Consider the following 21,599-nt stretch of genomic DNA (forward strand, 5'->3'; position numbering starts at 1 on the left):
TGCCTCCCAGGTTTGAGCGATTCTCATGCCTCAGCCTCCCAAGTATCTGGGACTACAGGTGTGCACCACCATGCCTGGCTAATTTTTGTATTTTTAATAGAGACGGGTTTTACCATGTTGGCCAGGCTGAACTCCTGGCCTCATGTGATCTGCCCACCTGGGCCTCCCAAAGTGCCAGGATTACAGGCATGAGCCTCCATGCCTGGCCAAATGATCTTTAGGTGCCACCCCTATTATATTATTTTTCATTAGCACTATTGCTTCAGCATTTTTGAACCTAATATATATTGTAGCCAGCAGTGTTCTAAGCCTTGGGGATACAGTAATGAAGCAGACAGACAAGGAAAGACCCTGCCCTCATGGAGCTTATAATGTAGCGAAGGAGGAGACAGACAATAAACATAAAACAGGTCTCTTTTGCCAGCTCTGGAGAAAAGGAAACGGGATGATACCATGGAAAGGAACAAGAGGGGCAACTTTAAACTGGGTGTTCAGGGAAAAGCTTCCTGAGAGGGGGTTATTTGAGCTGAGACTGGAATGGCAGGAATATCTTCATTCTGGGAGTTGTATGAGGAAGGCTTTGAATATGGGTATTTTCTATAACCGTACTCTTATTAGTAGGCCAACCTTAATCACATCCCTGATTATTCTCTCAGTTGCTCTTCATTTCAAAGTCTCCCTCCTGCCTTTTCCCATTTGTTTCTCCCAAATTACCCTTCTCTGGAGCTGTTTTGTTGTGACTTTATAGACATGTAGCAATTTGAACTCTTTGCAGCTTCCAGCTTTTCCGGTGTTCTTAGCCTAGTTTGGATTGTTTACTCTTACAAGCAGAACATTGGTCTCCATAAATCTGCTCTTTGCATGAATCTGACCGTACAGACTTAAAAGAGACAGTTTTGTGTATGGAGAAGCAGAAAGTGAATTTATATCGTCTTGACAGTGGCGTTTCCCACTCCTTTCTACTTAACTCTGAGCCCACATTTAAAATCCTGAAAGTATTTGGGAACGTTTTTCTTGACATTGTTACTGCCTCAAATCTCTGTGTAGTTTTATAAAAACTTAGTCATTTTAGGATTTTTCTAGCTGAAACTGTATTTTTCTCTCTTTTTCTAAGAGGGCATTGTTGGTAAAATCCTCATGAATTAAGAACTGGAGACTCATGTTCATTCACAAGCAAAAATATGTTTTTTTCTAATTTAATCATTCTATTACTTTCATGTTCTAAAGTGTCAGTTATATTTTGAGGAATTCGGTTAGTAAATATAAAGAAAGTCTTTGAAGTTGGCACTTTGTAAAAGCAGAAGGAGCATCGATATTTCGTCTTACTCTGCCCCACCTCCAGCCGTAATCCACGTGTCTGAGTGGGTTGGACACCTGATCTCTGTGCTTCTTTGCTGTATAATCAAAAAGGAAGAAGAAAAGTGGTCTCCCAAGTGCTGGCTTCTCAAACAGCTCCCGTTATGTCTCATAAGAAGTGCCTTGAGGTACATGGTTCATAATCTGTGTCTCCTTGAGACCAAGACCATGAAGCCTTGGAGGGTACCCGCCAACTATTATTCTGTCCTTGTACCTTTGAGCCCCTTCACAGGCTGAATCTCAACAAATTCCTAGGCACTGTGTATCTAGAAATACATAGTATTTCAAGGGCTTACAAGACAGTGATGAGTAAAGTATCTCTGAGTATTAATAATTGTGGTCAAGGTTCAGTACCTTTTAACAAAAATGTAGAAAATAAGTGGTCCTTTTCAATACCAGAAATTATGTATGTATTAAAAGTTTGCAAGTTGTGTGTGTTAGGTTAATCAGAAAAATTTTCAAGTTTTGTTGTTTATTTGCCTGTTTGCTGTTGACCTTTTAAAAAAGTTAATTATTCCTTGGTTCAAGGGTGAGCCTTACTTCACTTTAATTTTTGAAGCACAGGCATAAGAGAAATTCATTTATTCTGCACTAAATATTTACTCTGTCAAAAATAATTATCTTACATGGTTTCAATTTACACAGTTTCTAGAATATTTTATTTAGACAGTTAACAGATTCAGAAAGTGTTTGTTGCTAGAAAAGGTGATTAATGGGCGGATAAGGATGCTAAAATTATTCAGCTGAATCCAAGATTATTGTGTATATTTCACTTAGGGTATACGAACACTTTTCTGCAAAAGGCTAATTTAACTAACACAGCTCCAGTGTAGATAGGGTAGTTTGTTTTTTATTTTTGTTTGCTCGGGGTGTGTGTATGTGTGTGTGTGTGTGTGTGTGTGTGTGTGTGTGTGTGTGTGTGTGTGTGTGTGTTTATGACTGCAGATCACAGCTCAGGGCTCTTGTTTCTTTAACTTGGAGTTTCCCTCCCAGGAGTATGCTCAGAGATGCAAACTGTGTGTACTGCTATCAACCTTTTAGTTTCATAGATTATCTTAGGTTTTTTAGTCTTCTACTGGATTTCTCTTTCACCTGCGGTATTTCTAAATTAGGTAGCTACTTGCAGGGTGTAAGTCTTTGAAGCCATTGTATTTGAAAATACAACTAGACTTAATAAGCTCTTCAAGGGCAGGGACTCTCTTACAATTCCAGTGCCCAGCATCCACACTCAATACAGCAACAAAATTAATGGGGAGAGGGAGACTTGCTCTGTTTCCTTGCAGAGTTTATTGATGCATTCTGCAGGTATTTACTCAGCACCTTTATCTGCCAGGCACTGTGATAGGCATTGGGCATGAAGAGGTGAGCAGATAAGCAGTTCCTGCTGGCCTGGTGCAGAACTCCGTCCAGCAGGTATGGGAGGCTGTTTTCACTGCTGAGATAGAGACTTCTTCGGTTTATCCAAAGTAATGGAGGATTTTTCTTGTAAGGACACGGAAGGATTAAAGAAGACTTGAATCAGTTACACTTCTGGGTCTCTTGGGAGCGTAGGAACTAAACGAATCTAGTGGAATATAGTTTGGCAACAGAAGATATCTCTGGTTATACAAGCACGAAGATATTCATAGGAACATAGGACTCAGTGTTCCACTGCAGTAGTGTTGGGGAGAAAGTCAAACCTTATATAAATATTTTTGTCTTTTTTCCTTGGGGATTCACTAAGATCTTAGGTTATATTCTCTTAAAAATGCTAGGATTTTACTCTGTTCTTAAATCATATTGTTTGTTTCTCCAGGCATACAATATGTTTCCTATTTTTTCGTTCTATCCTAGTCTCTAGTTTTCTCTCTATGTGGGGTGTGTGTGTGTGTGTGTGTGTGTGTGTGTGTATTCACCAAATATCCACAGAATAAGAAAATCTAAAGGTAAAAACCAAAAGTCTGAGAAAATTTAATTTGACTTGTCACATTTTAAGATACCTTCATCTGTTAACATTTTTTGGGAATTTGTATTGCTGTGTATTTTTTATATTTAAAAAGTGGTAATATTAGTTTACACTAAATAAGCGTCAGTCTCTTACATTTGAATAGGAATTTATAGTTGACAGGTACATCCAAAGATGTTTAGGTTTTTTTTGTTTTTGAGATGGAGTACCGCTCTGTTGCCCAGGCTGGAGTGCAGTGGCAGGATCTCCACTCACTGCAACCTCTGACTTCTGGGTTCAAGCAATTCTCTTGCCTCAGCCTTCCGAGTAGCTGGGATTACAGGTGCTCACCACCACGCCCGGCTAATTTTTTTTTTAATTTTTAGTATAGAGATGGGGTTTCTCTTATGTTGGCCCGGCTGGTCTTGAACTCCTGACTTCAGGTGATCTGCCTACCTCGGCCTCCCTAAGTGCTGGGATTACAGGCGTGGGCCACCGTGCCTGGCCAGGTTTTTTTCTTCAGAAAAACCCCCTGAAAGAAGGAGGGCAGATTTTACTCTCCATATATCACAAGTTGAAAATTTAAGTCAAGGTTACATGGTTCATCTACGCCATCAGAAGGCAATGTGGCCAGTATTAGAGCCCAAGGCTCCTGTCTGCCACTTGGGTGGTCTGTCCATGCCCCATGCTTCACCCCCTCCCTGCCAGTGATGTGGAAGGTCGGGATGTTGGCGGTGCCCATCGTCACCTTCCTGCTCCCCTTCCCTGACTTACTTTCCTGAGAGAGAGGACCAGGCATAGCTTGGCCAGATGCACATTTCTTTATTTCCAGCAAGGCCTCCACCCTGAATCCCAGCCTTCTTCTCTATTTTGGTAATTAGACTAAAAAGCTTAGAAAAATGATGAAGGTGACCGTTAACTTGCTGAAAGTTTGTACAGGAAACATTTGTGTTTCATCCCTGCAAGTGGAAATGGAGGGATATGGGCATGAGAGATTGGATTTTTGGTGATTGTTCTCAAAACCCAGTATTTACCTTAATTACTGCATACCACTTGCTTGGTGCACCCATCTTCTTAACTGTCCAATCCTATGCCCCATTTACTGTCAGAAAATGAAAATCATAGACTTACAACCTGTCTACTCACGATTTAGAAATTGATAGAATGTCTAGCAAAAATATCAAGGAGAAATAAATTAAAATAATTTATAGCAAGTAAAATGTATTTCAGTAGGTATGTGTTTCAGCATGTACTCAAGAAGACAGTGTAGTTAGATTGTCCCACCTAGATGTGGAGGCTCTATGAATATAAAAGCTGCAAACGGAGTCTGATCAAAAAGCATTGTACTAGGAATCCAAATACCATAAGGAGCATTGTAGTAGTCGCATGGTTTTCTGAAATGATGAACATCTATTAGTAAAATTCCAAACAAAGCAAGAAACAAAACCCAAATTTGATGTTGTCATTGTGTTGTAGAAAATTTGATGTATATTAAAACTGCATAAATGAATCAAGTGTATATAAAGAGCTGTATTAGGATTTAGGCCCAGATGGTTATAAATGGACTTTTTTTTGCCAATGTGAATGCCCAGTGGGATGTTTTAAAAGTTATGCAGGACAAAAGTTGAAGGTTGCAGGACAGTTCTTTGTTGTGCAGGATTGTTGTGGAGTTTGCCTGACAAAAGCCAAGGAAGGGTGTCCTCTGAATTACCGTGACAATCAAAATTGCCCCCACAAATTTAGAAAACATCTTCTAGATAGCGATGCCACCTTTGTGGAAAACCTTTACCTTAAACACTTCAGAAAGACACAGAAACCTAAGGACCCCAGGAAAACAAAGACTTCCCGACCTTTTAAACCAGGAGCTCATAGTCCTGTGGCTTCATCGTCTAAAGAGGCTGGAGGGGGCAGGGGGGCAGAGAATGTCTACTATATTTTTGCCCCAAGGCTGAGAGAAGTTTTTAACCTTCATCTTGCCTATATCTGCTTGCACTCTCCGTTCTGCATTCCTGTGGTTGCATTTTTTTGCATTTTGTTTCCATTCACTGTCCTTGTAGCTTGCTGGGGTGGCACTCTTTAGACTAACTTTAATAGTTGCAAAAAAGGGGTTTGAAAACTGATGGGCCTTTGTGTGTATGTGTAGTAAAATATATATAACACAATTTATCTGATGCAAGTTTTTAATAAGTAATTTGTGACTGTGCAAGTATATGACTAAAGTATTGTGGTATATAAATAGTAAATATTGTATGTCTTTCAGTCACTTTGGAGGATATAATTTTGTTATAAATGATAATATCTTGATAATTGGGTTTATGAATTATTTCACAAAGTTAATCTTTAATCATAATGAAGATCATGAAGGAAGATAATATTCACCTCTTATTGTATGATTTCAGGAATCTGTATTTTCACTTTCTGTTCTCTCTGAGGCAGCGTTTTGATGCAAGATACTCGTAAATTCAGATTCTCCAGCTGTGATGAAGAGTGACTGTGTGATCTAAAACAAATTAATAATTTTCTCTGAGACTTACTGTAAAATGTACTCATCAGTTGTTTGAAGATGCTGATTTTTTTTTTGTTTGAGACTGAGTTTCATTGTGTCACCCAGGCTGGAGTGCAGTGGCGTGATCTTGGCTCACTGCAACCTCTGCCTCCTGGGTTCAAGCGATTCTCCTGCCCCAGCCTCCCAAGTAGCTGGGATTAGAGGCACCTGTCACCATGCCCGGCTAATTTTTGTAGTTTTTAGTAGAAATGGGGTTTCCTCATGTTGGCCATGCTGGTCTCAAACTCCTCACCTCAGGTGATCTGCCCACCTTGGCCTCCCAAAGTGTTGGGATTACAGGCGTGAGCCACTGTGCCTGGCCGAAGGTGCTGATATTTGATAGCATGATTGTAAGGATTAATGCACTACACATCTGACATAGTTTTATTATAGTACTTGTTCCTGTGCATACATATTTTTCATGCAGTGCAATCATACTGCTGATAAAAATTTTGTCTTCTCTTTTTACTTGACCTAGTGTTTCCATAGTGTAAACAAATTTCATAATTACTCTTCTAAAAGTATTGAAGTAGACTCATGACATTCTGTTACCAAAATACTGCATAGTACATTGTGTCCTTTCTTTATATAACATGAGCCAGAAATGTACCTGCTTCTCTTGAGAAAGGCATGTTTTTAAAAACCTCAGTTCTTGAGATAACGATGTCATCAAAACCAAGAAGATACAGAGCTGAGTTGAGTCGGAGGAGTGGGCAGATGGTAGGCTTGCCAGCTGAGTGGTGCGCACACCAGGATGAGATTGCAGCTTTCAGTGGACAGATTTGCGTGTTATGGACATTTGGATTGCACAAAAACTGTCAGAACTATAAATCTGAGACTTTCAAGGATATACTATCCTTCAGCTAAAGATGATTTCAACATACATGAGCAATTTCTGTTCTGTTTTCTAATTTTATCATTTAAGAAATGATGCTGCTGAATAGATTTATTCATACATTGCTCTTTCCTTCACTAGTAGTACTTCTTTAGGTTAAATCTCTAGTAGATTTACCCTATTAAGTGACACAAGTCTTTTATAGTACTTGATGTAATTGCCAAATTGTTGTTTAAAGGTATTGTATTGCTTTATATGGTTCCCAGTTAAGTAGTTTTAGCTGTCTGTAACTAGGGATTTTTCTTTTAATTTAAAGTGCTAATTTAATAGGTAAAATACTGATTTCAATTTATATTTATTTGATTATTAATGAATTTCAGCATTTAATTTTTGTATATTCATGGTATTTCCTCTTATTTATTCATCTTTTTCTTTAGTTAAATTATAAGATGGTTTACCAATTTGAGCCTTTTCAGGGTTTTGGGAAAATTAGACTTTTAATCTAATCATATTATTCTGCTTTTTCTTTTAGCTCCAGTAATAAACCGATTCACAAGGCGTGCCTCAGGTAAGTCTGATTATATTATGGATTTTGTTTATTAATGGTGACATTTAAAAAATGATAATATTGGACAAGAAGGTACAAAGAATAATTGCTGTATAGTAAACCTTTATTTGTCAGTTATTTTTCCCAGAAAACACAACTATCTGATATAATCACTATCTAGGAAGCAATTGAAAATGCCCTACCTAGGAAGCAATTTCAAATGCAATTGAAAATGTGAGTGGCTACACTGAAAGTCACACTGTGTACTAAACTGGTGGGCCTTTTTAAATGGAGACTCTCAGCCCAGGGTGTTATTCTTGCTCTTGATAGAATTACGATCTGTATGGTTGTCTGATTTACCAGCCATAATCTAGAAACAGTGATTTAGCAGATGGGTAAAGGACACCTTAGAAACAGTGATAATTGAGTGAGTGTTTTTTTGTTTGTTTGTTTGTTTGTTTTCATAAGAGGGTTTTTAATAAGGGACAGGAGAACTCTTAAAATGCAGGTATAAGAACTTGTCATTATGGGACCATTTAGAATAGGAGCAAATTGCTTTACATTTGTTTGTGCCCCTGAGGCTATTGCTGGTTTAAATATACTACAGTACCCTAATGTAGTCAGCATGATAGGCCTTAGCCATTAACAAGGGCGTACGTTAACTTCAATATACTGTGTACTATTTAAACTGCTGGGGAAGTATGAGACAGAATTAAGAGCATTTCTGTCCAAAATGGCTTAAGTTAAATGAGTTTGGGCATTGAGATAAACTATTATTTAGAAAATTCACCATATGGCTTATCTTCTCTGTGTAAGAGGACAAATGAAGTGAGGGTAATATTTGATTTGAGAAAATTACTCTTTAAGTATACCTGGAAATTTTTTGTTAAACCCAAGATAAACATTTCACACAGATCATCTTTGGAGTTGATATAATACAAATGGGTCATTTATTTCACAAAATTACCTTATTTCCACCTGTGCTATAATATTAAAGACATTTTAATGTTGAATTTTATTTTTGATTTGTCAGCAGTTACTGGTATAATTTACTCTTGTTATGTAGTGACCAGGTCTATAAGGATAATATGCTATATTGGAATAACATCTACTTTATCATTCTGAGCTTTTTGTAATCTCAAGGCGTGTTTATTTTAAATGGTGAAAACAAGTGTAGATTGTAATGCCTTTTGTGGAATGAGACATTATGTTTATGTCAGTAAGGCGTCGAATTTTATCCCAAAGAACTATCAAGTGTGATCATATTCTAGTGTAGTAGTCCTTTATGAGCAGTGGTGGGAATAGGGGAGGAAGAAGAGAGAATCAGTATTGTGATGCCTTGTCTTCATGAGGTGAAATTCTTTCAATAGAAACACAGTTAAGAGTCATAGAATAAATAATCACCATTTCTACCTCAAACCGTATGACATGTGACATTTATTTCTGGGCACGTTCCATTAGTATTTGTTGTACATTATACGTATCATTGGCTGGGCGAGGTGGCTCACGCCTGTAATCCCAACACTTTGGGAGGCTGAGGCGGGCAGATCACGAGGTCAGGAGATCAAGGCCATCCTGGCTAACATGGTGAAACCCCGTCTCTGCTAAAAATACAAAAACAAAATGAGCCGGGCGTGGTGGCGGGCACCTGTAGTCCCAGCTACTCGGGAGGCTGAGGCAGGAGAATGGCGTGAACCCGGAAGGCGGAGCTTGCAGTGAGCCAAGATTGCACCACTGCACTCCAGCCTGGGTGACAGGGTGAGACCGCATCTCAAAAAAAAAAAATAATAAAAAATAAAAATAAAAAATAAATATATATATATATAATTGTAGAGATGATGTAATACCACAAAGAAATACACATTAAAATCAAATGTTGCATTTATTCCCAGAATGACAGGTAATAAGAAATGTCAGTGAAAACAACAGGAAACAGTTTGGTATAAATAAGATGATACCAAGTTCAGGAGTCACGCTGTATACAGCAGTAAGCCTTAAAAGGAGTAAAATTGTTATCCCAATAATATAATATGCTGGAAACCATCAGGAGAATGAATCTTGACATTAATTATAAGAAAGAAAAGAGAACTAATTTATGGAGTACCACTGATGGATCAGGCACTGTGCTAAGCATTTTATATACATTTTTAGTCTTTCAGGCAAGGCAAATAAAATTATTTAATACTTTGAATAAAAAATGTGGTATAAGAAAAAAGGGAAGAGGATTTATTTAATCATCTACTTCTCTGTATTTTATTTGAGACTTTCTTAATTCTTATAAAAGTTTGTGTAAAATGTTTTTGACAAAGAATATAGAAACAGTCTTAAGACATCCTGAGGAGGAAATGCTACAGTTTTTTTGTTAATTTAATTTAGTGCTAACATGAAGTTTAGTAATAGAGATGTACATTAACTTTTTTAAAAAGTAACATTTCCTGAAAATAAAAAAGAAATGATTATTTTCTCAAAATGCAGTCAATTGTATTTGATAATTAAAAAGATTTCTTATGATACCTTTTCTGATTGAGTTTTCAGAGATACTTTTTCTTTTCATAACCCATAAAACTTTAATGTAAGAATGGTAATTTAGGGGAAGAAAGTAAGTCAGGTAAAATCAACTGGAAGTCTGTACGACGTAAGAGTTTGTTTTTTATTCATCTGTTTTTAAATTAAAGTTACAACAGTAAATGCTATATGTATATATTACAACAATAAATACAAAATGTGTAGTGCTATGTGTTCTATCATTGTTGATTGAAAAGAAAAAATTACTATGAATTATAATTAATAACTCATTAACTGACTTTCCTAAATCTTTTGAATTTTTGGCTTTTGATATTCATACTGCATCTATCAAACATAAATATTTCAAACCTGAATAATTTAAACAAAACATTTCCCCTTTGGATACCTTTTTCTTTTGTTATGAAGGTGAGAGGAATATTTATGCTTAACAAATACATTCTTTAGGATTATTTTTACACTTTTAAGAACACTATTTGTGCTATAGTCTCTCGTCTTCCTCATGTGTTCAGTGCTGGCCCACAAACGTGTCAGTTTTTATTTTTGTAAGTGAAAGGAATCAGTTTCACTCATTATTTTCAAACAGAATTCCTAGCATCTTAAGAGTTTATAGAGGCTTCAGGGTTGTATAAGCCAGCATCTTACTTGGTACAGGAGTGGAAGGCATGTAGAAAGCATGACTAACGAAGAGAAGCGTAGATGGGCACCAGAAGAATAGGACCCAATTTTACTGATTAGATTGGATGAGTTCCACAAAACATGATGAAAAACTGTCAGATGTCTTCTGAAATCCAGATATATCTCTGATAGCATCCTGACAGCACCCCATAACCTTATTTTTAAACAGTACCTCATGGTCCCATTTTTAAACAAAAGAAAAAGAAATACTGCTTTTGATCTCTTAAAATGCTCTTCAGCTCTTAATAATCCCTTCTTATCAGTACATCCTTAAGACAGAGAGGCCTGGTGTGGTGGCTCACACCTGTAATCCCAGCACTTTGGGAGGCCGTGGTGGGCGGATCACTAGAGGTCAGGAGTTCGAGACCAGCCTGGCCAACTTGGTGAAATCCCTTCTCTACCAAAAAATACAAAAATTAGTCAGGCATGGTGGCGCGTGCCTATAGTCCCAGTTACTCGGGAGGCTGAGGCAGGAGATTCACTTGAACCCTGGAGGTGGAGGTTACAGTGGGCTGAGATTGTGCCACTCACTCCAACCTGGGCAACAGAGTGAGACCCTGTCTCAAAAAATAAAATAAAATAAAATAAAGTAACAGAGAAATCATTATCCATAATCCATTTTATTTTATTTGTATTTGAGATGGAGCCTTGCTCTGTTGCCCAGGCTGGAGTGCAGTGGCACGATCTTGGCTCACTGCAACCTCCACCCTCCCAAGTTCAAGCAATTCTCTCAAGTAGCTGGGACTACAGGTGTACGCCACCATGCCTGGCTAATTTTTGTATTTTTAGTAGAGACGAGGTTTCACCATGTTGGCCAGGCTGGTCTCCAACTCCTGACCTCAGGTGATCTGCCCGCCTTGGCCTCCCAAAGTGCTGGGATTATAGGTGTGAGCCACTGCGCCCGGCCACATAATCCATTTTACAATATGGGCTTTTTGTTTTTTGGAAGATTATTCTTTTTGGTGGAAAATGGAAATAATATATCATTTGTTGTTGTGAGTATTAAAAATTAGTGGTGGTGGCTGGGCGCTGTGGTACACACTTGTAATTTTGCCACTTTGGGAGGCTGAGGTGAGCGGATTACCTGAGATTGGGAGTTCCACACCAGCCTGGCCAACATGGTGAAACGCTGTCTCTACTAAAAATACAAAAATTAGCTGGGTTTGGTGGCGGGCGCCTGTAATCCAGCTACTTGGGAAGCTGAGGCGGGAGAATCGCTTGAACCTGGGAGACGGAGGTTGCAGTGAGCTGAGATTGCGCCACCGTACTCCAGCCTGAGCGACAGAGGGGGAGACTGCGTTTAAAATAAATAAATAAATAAATAAAAATTTAGTGGTGGTAGTAGTAGTAGCAGCTCAGTAAATATTTTAAGAGTAAAGCTTTAATCAAGAAATAATCCTGTTGCTTCACTGTTCACCTAATATATAGAAAAGATCCTAGGGTTTGAAGTTGTACTGACTAGAGTTTTCCCATTTTCTCTGTGAATTTGTATGTAAGTTGTTTACTTCTTTGAGTTTAATTTTATTTATTTTCTTTTCTTTCAGCTTGGGATCTTAATAGCTATATTCAAGCTTGTGAGGGTTAAATTGGATGATTTTTATTATTTTTAAATTTTTTTTTTTTTTGAGATGGAGTCTCGCTCTGTCACCAGGCCGGAGTGCAATGACATGATCTTGGCTCACTGCAACCTCTGCCTCTTGGGTTCAAGCGATTCTTCTGCCTCAGCCTCCTGAGTAGCTGGGACTACAGCTGCACACCACCATGCCTGGCTAATTTTTTGTATTTTAATAGAGACAGGGTTTCACCATGTTGGCCAGGATGGTCTCAATCTCCTGACCTCGTGATCCGCCCACCTTGGCCTCCCAAAATGCTGGGATTATAGGTGTAAGCCACCACACCTGGCAATTTTTTTTTTTTTTTTAAGACAGGATTTCACTCTGTCACCCAGGCTGTAGTGCAGTGGCATGATCTTGGCTCACTGCAGCCTCCACCTTCCAGGTTGAAGTGATCCTTCCACCTCACCCTCCCTAGTAACTGGGAGAACAGGTGTGCACCACAATGCCTAGCTAATTTTTGTATGTTTTATAGAGACAGGGTTTCGCCATGTTGCCCAGGCTCATCTTGAACTCTCGAGCTCTAGGGATCCACCTGCCTCAGCCTCCCAAAGTGCTGTGATTATAGGTGTTGGATGAGTTTAAGGAAGCCCCCAGCAGAGAGTCTAGGCTTTTCAAAACGTTCGCTCTCAGCCTTCTTCTTATGAACGTGGTTTAAAACAAAGCCATAAACCCCTCAGCTTTTTGCCTTAGCCTGTCAGAATAAAGCCTTAGAGAGTCATAATACTGTTTGATAGTAATCCTTTAATATGGGCATCTTTTTATTGTTTATACATTATAGGTTTTCTAAAAAATTGTAATGGTTTTCCTCTGTGGTTTTGTCTCTGAATTGGGGAGGGGCTAGAAATGTCCAGTTAATCTTAAGACAGTGCCTTGCATCATGAAGTTGGAACTCTGAATTTTTTTTTTAATCCTAAGATACTGTTTTGAAAAAGTTACCCTTCTAGAACAGTTTAAAGAGTTCAGTGAGCGCCTTTATCTAGGCTCCCCAGATGTTGATATTTTGCCACATTTGCATGCTCTCTCCTCTCCATCTTTACACAGACACACACTCTTTTTTATTGAAACTTTTAGGAATCTTAAATACTTCAGCCTGTATCTCCTAAGAAAAAGGGCATTCTTCTAGGTAATATAACACTGAAGGAATTTAACATCGATACGATACTATTATCTCATACAGAGTTTAGAGTCAGATTTCCTCCACTGTCCTATCATGTTTTTTTCTCTCTCTCTTTTAAATTCAAGCTAATTCAAGGATTTTTTATTGCATTTAATTGTCATGACTCAGTTTTTCTTGCCTTTCATAAATTGACTCCCTGAAGTTTTTGAAATTTGCTTTTTCAGAGTTTTGAAGGTTATTCCTAACCATAAGACAGTTCCCTATACCGCCTGTTATGCATTCATAGATGGCATTAGCACAGCTGCTGTTTGTTCAGTATGCCCCACCGACGTCCATGAAATCTTTGCATTGACATTTACTATTGCTTTCAAGGACTACTTGAAAGCAATTACTTGTTCTAATAAGTAATTATTTCTTATAATAGAAGGATTTTCTTTTCTCATGTAGTTAACCACTCTTTAATTTTTTGCCATAGTATGAACATATAATTTTGTGGTATATTTTTAACAGAACTAAAATTTTATAATTTTCTGTAAACTATGATGTAGAATAATTCACAGGTGAAATTAATCTTTAAATTTCAATCTCACACACCTACTGTGTAAAATGTGATATTACAAATCTCAGTGAAATCACCCTGAACAGAAATGATTATTCCCCAAGAAATTAGTGAAATAGCAGAAGTTCACATCTTGTCTTGAATCTGATTCAAGGAACATATGCTTCCTTGATTCACGGAACATATGCTTCCTTTTGTTTTGTTTGGGAAATATCTTGTAGCCTTGGTGTTCATTGTTTCTACTTTAAGGTTATTTGACGATAACAGCTTTTAACCCCCAAACTATTTTTTTCCAGAGGTCATTTCTATATTGTCAAACCAATTTGCTGGTATAATTATAGTTACATTCATATTTTGTTTTTTGAAATTAGCTTCATTTTTAATAAGCCTGTTAATCACCAATACTTGGGAATACATATTGGGAGAATACTACTTTAATTAATATACTAGTTTATTCAGCAAACATTTACCGAGTCCCTCTTGTGTGTCAGGTACAGTGCTGGGGATGCCACGAATAATAAGATACAGTTCTTACGAAGTGCGCAGTCTAGCAGGGAAGCTGATGATGACTCATAGTGTAGTAAATGCCGTAATATCCTCAAAGTGAAAAGGAGAAAACATACAGTTTTTCCAGGGCCTGCCTCACAGGAAGGGTACTATTTGTGCTGTCTTTAAGGTTTATAACATAGGTTTTACGAGGACTATAAGGAGAGAGACTATTCTAGGTATTTCTATTCAGTATTACTGTAAAAAGTCCATTTTCACCATATGTTGCTATGCAGTTTGCCTCTGCCATCAAGCACCTATGGCATGGAGTGAGCAGATGCCCACTGGCTATGGATAGCAGGGACTTAAGGCCAGGAGTTATTTCATCCTTTAATTTACCATTGCTTCAAAATGTTAACATCTGCCTTACCAGGAGAGGCTGTATAGGCTCTGGAATCAGACCAGGGTTAGAGTACTAGCTCTGTTACTCACCTATCTACGTATTAAAAGTGTCTCTGTGTGTGTGTATCCTTAGTTACCTTTCTAAGGCTTAGTTTCTCTGGGTATAAAATGGGGATAATACCTAACTCACAAGATGATTGTTGTAATGAAACAGTAGATAACCCATGAAGAACAGATTCTTGAGGCCGGGCATGGTGGCTCACGCCTGTGTTCCCAGCACTTTGGGAGGCCAAGGCAGGTGGATCACCTGAGGTCAGGAGTTCAAGACCAGCCTGGCCAACATGACAAAACCCTGTCTCTGCTAAAAATATAAAAATTAGCTGGGCGTTGTGGCGTGTGCCTGTAGTCTCAGCTACTTGGGAGGCCGAGGCGGAGGAATCACTTGAACCAGGGACGCAAAGTTGCGGTGAGCCAAGATTGCACCACTGTACACTCCAAGCCTGGATGACAGAGTGATACTCCATCAAAAAAAAAAAAAAAAGAAAAAAGAAAAGAAAAGAAATGGCTTCAGGACTGCAGAGCTTGACATGAAGAGTTAGTCAGAAGGATGACACCCAGGGTGAGGCTGAAATCAAGGGTCAGAAAGAGAATTTGACTGAGGCAACAGGATGAAACGAGAGGTGTCAGTCTTGAGCAAGGGAGGTGGGAAGACAGGATGGAAGGTGGGACTGGGACCTAAGGAGGTTCTCTGAGATGCCAGGGCACAGGCCTGGGGGCTTTTGTCCAGGCTTGTTCCTTGGGTGGGATGGAAGCCATTTAGGGGGCCTCCAAGTCACTTCATGCACCTGTTATCTCTCAGTGCCCACACTAGTATTATAATAAAATGGGTTCTTCCCTGTGATTCATTATGAATAATCCAAGTGAACAGAGCAAGTACTGCTCCTGGCTCATTTCCAGCCACTTGCCCCTCCTGCTCTACACTCTAGCAGCGCTTGTTTACTGATACTTAAGCAACCTTGGGAATTGGAACCCAGTGGAATCTGTGGCATTGTTGAGTCTCTGGTTCTTTTTTGTTAGGCCCTGGAATGCTGATAAGCTACCTCAAGGCTAATGAGAAATTAGATTATCTCTTGAACTTAATTGCATTTTCCCAGAGTTCTCTTAGAGCCCCCCAGGGAAAGGAGAAAGGAAGATAGTGAAAGCAGCTGTTCAGGTTGGGGCATGGTGGGAAGGGAGGATCTTTCTGCGCCTATAGTGTCCTCAGACTCTTCACACTGGTGGTTTTGCCAGTCGATGTGGAAGGGCTTGGAAGATAACATGGGAATTATGTAACCCACCAAACCCCGTGTGCCTTAATTACAGGAACACTGCCACTGTTGGGGAAAGGGGTCGGGGAGTTAGATCTATAAGATAGTATAAAATAGGTATGAGTAGATAGAATAGACATTTAGATGTAGTGCAACCATTCTTTAATTACAAGCGGAGTTTAGGTCACTACTTCACCAGCTCTGTGTGAAGGATCAGTTTTTCGTTTTTGTTTTCCCAGTGCACTGCAGACCAGCACTTTTGAGAAATATAAATTTGCCACAGCAATATCAAATTGCTATAATTGTATCTAAACACTGTTTTACTCTCTGTACTTATCTTATTGCAGATTGCCATGGCTTAGGTGATACAACCGTGGTGTGTGCTACATGAGATAAGAAACTTCTCACAAAAAGCTTTTATAAAGGAAGATTGCACATTTATCTAAAAGAAGCGATTATTAAAAAAAAAAAAACAAACATACCTTATTTTGCTAACTTGGCATTTTGTCAGGACAGCCTGCATGAATGAATGGTGCCCTTGAGTTGTCGAATGGTGGCGTGTGGCAGCCCTGCTTCAGGCCCGTGGCGTGCCTGCGTTCTGCCTCCATGTATGCCTGCTCATATTCAGAGCATGCCATGGGCTCTCTTATCTAGGCCTTGCTATAGCTCACCACATTCCCTGCCATCAGCTTCCTTCCTCTCTCCCTCCCTCCCTTCCTTCCTTCCGATACCGTTACTGTTACACATCGTTTGATGTTGTAGTTGCTTGTTCACATGTCTTTTTCCCTATGCTTAACAGTGAGGTTCATAATTAATGGACTGAGAAACAAGGACACTCTGGATGAGGTCAAAGAAAAAATAGAATGTGAAGTAAAGAAATGAGAATGCAAGGAGGATGGGAAGATTTCTCCAGGCATGTGTGTAGAGCGGTGTGAGATTCCTGAGTAGTGTGTGCTGGGGTAAGGACCAGTGTGAATATAGTTACAGGGTGAGCCTGCTAAAGGGCAGGCTGAGTGACATTTTATTGGAATTAAGGAAGCCAAAATAAGTTGAGGATGGGCTCTCAAATGGGTTTTCAACTTGGACATTGACTGCCTACGATGGTGGCACATTGGAGTGAAATGAAAACTGTGAGCCAGGTACCAGTCAGGAAGGGGCATCTGTATGCCGTGGCTCTCGGAGGAGCACAGAGGTTTCAGTGGGAGCACCATGGAGTGGTCCAGATGCCAGTGTGGGGAGCCACAGCGTGCCCTCACTATCTTTCAGATCCCACTGTGTGCAGGAAGTGGTACCGTCTAAGAGAAGGAGTGTTCTTGGAGAAGAATCAAGTTTCAACCAAGGCAGAGAAAAGTCAGTAATGTTTTATAAAAGAATGTGAGGGTGTGGGGAATGTGTTGGGAAGGAGGGTAGTAATGGACAGAAGGAAGCCACAGAGCAGCAATTCATTTGAGGAAATATTTGCAAGCAATTACCATTGCCAGGGACTACACTAGGCACAGCAGTGAACACATTATGCCCTTGAAGTACTTGCAGTCTAGGGAAGCTTAAGGCATGGGGAGATGAAATTAGGGAAAAGATGGTGGTCTGGAGGGTCTTACATCTTGTGGATGACCAAGGGTGACAGAGCAAAGAGGACATAGTTGGATTGATAGTTTTTAGATTATAATTTATTCACTGTAAATACTTGTTTAACTAAACTTTCCTTAAGGCTAACTCTGTTAGCTTCCTAATGAGAGCGCTGTAACCGTCTGATACTTATCTTAGGTACAGAAGGCAATATGATGTAGAAGTAAGAGGCTGGATTTGGAGCTGTTTTTAAATTTAACAGTCAAATATTCAATGAGGGCCTACAATGTGTTGGGCACTGGGCTGGACCCAGGGCAGGCAGATACAGTTTAGGATCTTAGGTACATCATTTATTAGCTGTGTGACCTTGGGCAACTTACTTAAATGACCTTCTGTAAAACCAGATTGTGGTTATTCTGGAAGAGAATGCAGGCAAAGCTTTTAGCATAGTGTCTGACACATTTTGAGTGCAAAATAAACTTTTATATATTATTAGACTGGATTTTTCAAATTTTAACCTGATAAAAACACCATAATTTTAGTGTCTCTTCTTTCCTCTTGTAACTTATCCCACCTAATATTAATTGGCCAAAGTGCATAATTTTGTGTATGTATTACAACTAACTCCCCTACCCCAAATTTGGGTTAACTTAACATTGTATTGTTATTTGTGGGGGAGAGCAAAGATTTCTCTGAAATGTAACATCCTTTAGCTTTTTAGATGAAAACAGAAAAGCAACCTCAGTCCCTCATCATAAACTGTATTTGTAGACTGTAGTTTTGAAAGCAAATTGATCCACCTTTTAAAAATCTAAACTGATATTTTAAACAGGTGTGTGCAAATGCAGTCCCTCCCACCCCCACCCCATCAGCATCTTGACCCAGCTACTTCTTTGGAGCTGACTACTAGAGAATGTTAGTCTCATCTCTGAGAGCCCAGCAATATATTATATACTAGGTAATCATTGGATAATGTTTTCTGATATTTTAAAAGTTAATATTGCAACTAAAAACCAAAATACCTATTCAGGTCTTGTCTTCCCTTTACCAGTAAGAATCAGGGTCTTCCCCTTCCCTGCACCTCCCCGGATTAGTTTTCTACTTTTTCATGAGTTACTAAAACCAGAGAACACTGATTTTAATGTTGTTTTACAGAAAACGGTACCATAAAATTGACAACAAATTAAAATATACATTAATGGTACAGTATATTGTTTTCAGAATAGTGGAAAGAAGGGGCCTTTCACTTGAAAGACGGAACAGCTTAAATGATAGTGTTGTTAGACGTGTTTCAAGGAATTACAAAATGTTGTGTTTATTGACCATCAAAAAAGGTACAGCTGACCTTTTCCTTAGATATTTTAAAACAGAATTCCAAGTTATAGCTCCCCTTTAAAAACAGGTATGGATACTTTAATATATGCATTGCCTAACAGAGTATATAGGCTACAAATACAGCAAATGCACATAGCTTTTATTCAATTTTTGAACAGCAGCTTACCAGACGTGCTGAGTTTTAGCAGGTTGCTGAGTGGTAATCTGCAGGAGAAATGGAAAACAGGTTTGCCTTAACTACTCTTGTGGCTTTCTAAAAATAAATTGCTACTTTCAAGTTACCTATTTGGTATTTTCACTTTATTTAGATTTTGTGGATCTCAAAATTTTCTTTTTATAATGTTGATACATTACCACTTACAATTTACTTCTGAATTCTGTACCATAAAAATAATGTATTTTATTTTCATGTTACTTTAAAAATGATATTGCTTCTTACTTGCTTATATTTATCATTCCCCCCATTTGTGTCCTTAGAAACATTTGTTTTAATTGCTCTGCTTTTCTTAAGTACATTTATATGAAGAGAGCTATTTAATGTATTTTAAATACATTTCTTAGAATTGAAAGCTCTTCTTAGAATAATGAAAAAATTTGTAATTCAGAATTATATTTTATTGACTAATAAATAAGCATTCATGTTATATTACATAGACAATTAATTAGAAGTTAAGTGAAATTAAAATTTTCCTGTAGTTAAATTATTTTTATTTTTATTTTTATTTTTTTGAGATGGAGTCTCGCTCTGTCGCCCAGGCTGGAGTGCAGCGGTGCAGTTGGCTCACTGCAACCTCTGCCTCCCAGGCTCGAGTGATCCTCCCTCTGCAGCCTCTTGAGTAGTTGGGACCACAGATGCGTGCCACCAAGCTCAGCTAATTTTTTTTGTATTTTTGGTAGAGACAGAGTTTGACCATGTTGTCAAGGTTGGTCTTGAACTCCTGAGCTCAAAGAATCCAGTGCCCGCCTTGGTCTCCCAAAGTGTTGGGATTACAGCTGTGAGCCACCGTGCCTGGCATAATGATTGTTTTAGAAGGGATCTTGGTGTTAGACTGTATAGTTGGTGAGACTGAAGTGTCTTAGATGGAGGTTGTACCTGCAGGAGAGTCACAATGTGTGTCTCATCTATAACAGAGATTCTGAGGCAGAGGTCATTATAAGTTTTGAAGGTAACCTGTGAGTCTCAAAATGTTTTTTATGAATTTGTAATTCCGAGGCTGGGTATGGTGGCTCATGCTTGTAATCCCAGCAATTTGGGAGGCTGAGGTGAGACGATCCCTTGAGGGGATTGTGCTACTACGCTCCAGCCTGGGCAACAGAGCGAGACTGTCTCAAAAAAAAAAAAAAAATAGAGTTTATAATTCCCAAAGCCTTCCCTCCCCTCTGAGGGAATTTTATCAAGGAATACATTTCTCTAATAAGGGAAGTAGCTCAAATTTTTGAATAAAGATTATTTTGATTATGAGTCTTAGTAGTCTAATTTGCAAAAATAGATGATGGTGATGATGACAACAATACTAATTAAAATTTATGCACGGTCAACTGTGTGTCGAGTGCTGTTTCTCAACTTTGCTTTCCCTGAGACGACCTATGAGAATCACTAGTGCAATATTTGAAGGGAGTTTTCTTATTATCTCCATTTTACAGGTATGGAAACTGAGGCACAGTTTACTTTTTATTTTTAATATTATTAATTTATTCCTTAGTACTGAGTCAAGCCTAGTTTTTTCTTGTTGTTGTTGTTGTTTTGAGACAGAATCTTGCTCTGTCACCCAGGCTGGAGTGCAGTGGCATGATCTCGGCTCACTGCAACCTCCGCCTCCTGGGTTCAAGTGACTGTCCTGCCTCAGCGTCCCAAGTAGCTGGGATTACAGGCGCCCACAACCATGCCTGGCTAATTTTTGTATATTTAGTGGAAATGGAGTTTCACCATATTGGCCAGGCTGGTCTCAAACTCCTGACGTTGTGATCCACCTGCCTCAGCCTCCCAAAGTGCTGGGATTACAGGCGTGAGCCACCACGTCTGGCCAAACCTAGTTTTTAGCTATTTTATTAAATGGAATTATAGACTAGTAGGACCGTCACAGTCTTGATTACTTTAAGACCAGATCATGCAAGTGTTTTTGACTATTCTGCAGGAAATGAAATCAAACCACTTCTACCTATTTTCTCCTGTTATAGTTTTTATCCTGAGTCTGGAAGTTATGTTAAATATTTTTTTGCACTAAATTCCAATAAAGCAGAGAAAAGACAATTGTTAGGCAATTTGTAGTACCAGCATTGTTTTTCTATACATACTGTTATAGGTGAAGCATTTAAATTATTGTGCTTTTTTGGTAACAAGTTTTTTACATTTTAAAGTTGTTCTTTATATTTTAATCAATTCATCATTCAAAGTTCTGTGCCCCAAATTATAAAATAGTTCACATTTTAATGCTTTTAGCAGTCAATCTGAGTGATTCAGATTAGTTTTGATCTAAATTTAAATGTTATGTTATTATCTTTTCAGCTAGAAATCTGAAAATATCTTGTTGCCAACCATATTAGTGGATATATATCTAGAAATATGTAAAGCGTAGTATTCATTTATACAAATAGGAAACTTATACATTTTTGGGAGTGATTTGCTTACAGTTTAGTTCGGTTTATTATTGCTCTTTGTTTCTCCCTGGATCAGGGAGAAAACCCTTAATACTGGGAAAATCAATTTAATTCCTATTATAATGACTACCATCTATATACTTTTTTTTTTTTTTTGAGATGGAGTCTTGCTCTGTCACCCACACTGGAGTGCAGTGGCGCGATC

At 38.6% G+C, this 21,599-nt stretch overlaps 1 protein-coding gene and 1 long non-coding RNA gene across 3 annotated transcripts in view, besides 1 other annotated feature; one reads left to right on the plus strand and one right to left on the minus strand.

The window, feature by feature from the left end:
- PRKAR2B (protein kinase cAMP-dependent type II regulatory subunit beta) overlaps window positions 1–21,599 on the plus strand; it is a 117,107-nt gene that overhangs the window by 18,384 nt on the left and 77,124 nt on the right. Inside the window, exon 2 of the mRNA NM_002736.3 lies at window positions 7,193–7,228. Coding sequence (NP_002727.2) covers window positions 7,193–7,228 — 36 coding nt within the window. The remainder of the gene's footprint in view (window positions 1–7,192; window positions 7,229–21,599) is intronic.
- PRKAR2B-AS1 (PRKAR2B antisense RNA 1) lies at window positions 1,235–16,521 on the minus strand. 2 transcript variants are annotated; one of them, XR_007060469.1, is made up of 4 exons: window positions 16,378–16,521; window positions 5,660–5,780; window positions 4,315–4,382; window positions 1,235–1,394 (listed from the first exon to the last, which is right to left on the minus strand). It is a non-coding gene; the product is annotated as a PRKAR2B antisense RNA 1 (long non-coding RNA). The 2 variants fall into 2 exon arrangements; XR_007060470.1 differs by lacking the exon at window positions 16,378–16,521 and adding an exon at window positions 14,171–14,482.
- Window positions 14,136–14,430: a silencer, noted in NCBI's record as "tiled region #12069; HepG2 Repressive non-DNase unmatched - State 24:Quies". NCBI's record gives its function as "represses a minimal TATA promoter and a strong SV40 promoter by Sharpr-MPRA in HepG2 cells {active_cell/tissue: HepG2}" and the evidence as "EXISTENCE:reporter gene assay evidence [ECO:0000049][PMID:27701403]".

Source organism: Homo sapiens, chromosome 7 (genome assembly GCF_000001405.40).
Source record: "Homo sapiens chromosome 7, GRCh38.p14 Primary Assembly".
NCBI lineage: Eukaryota > Metazoa > Chordata > Mammalia > Primates > Hominidae > Homo > Homo sapiens.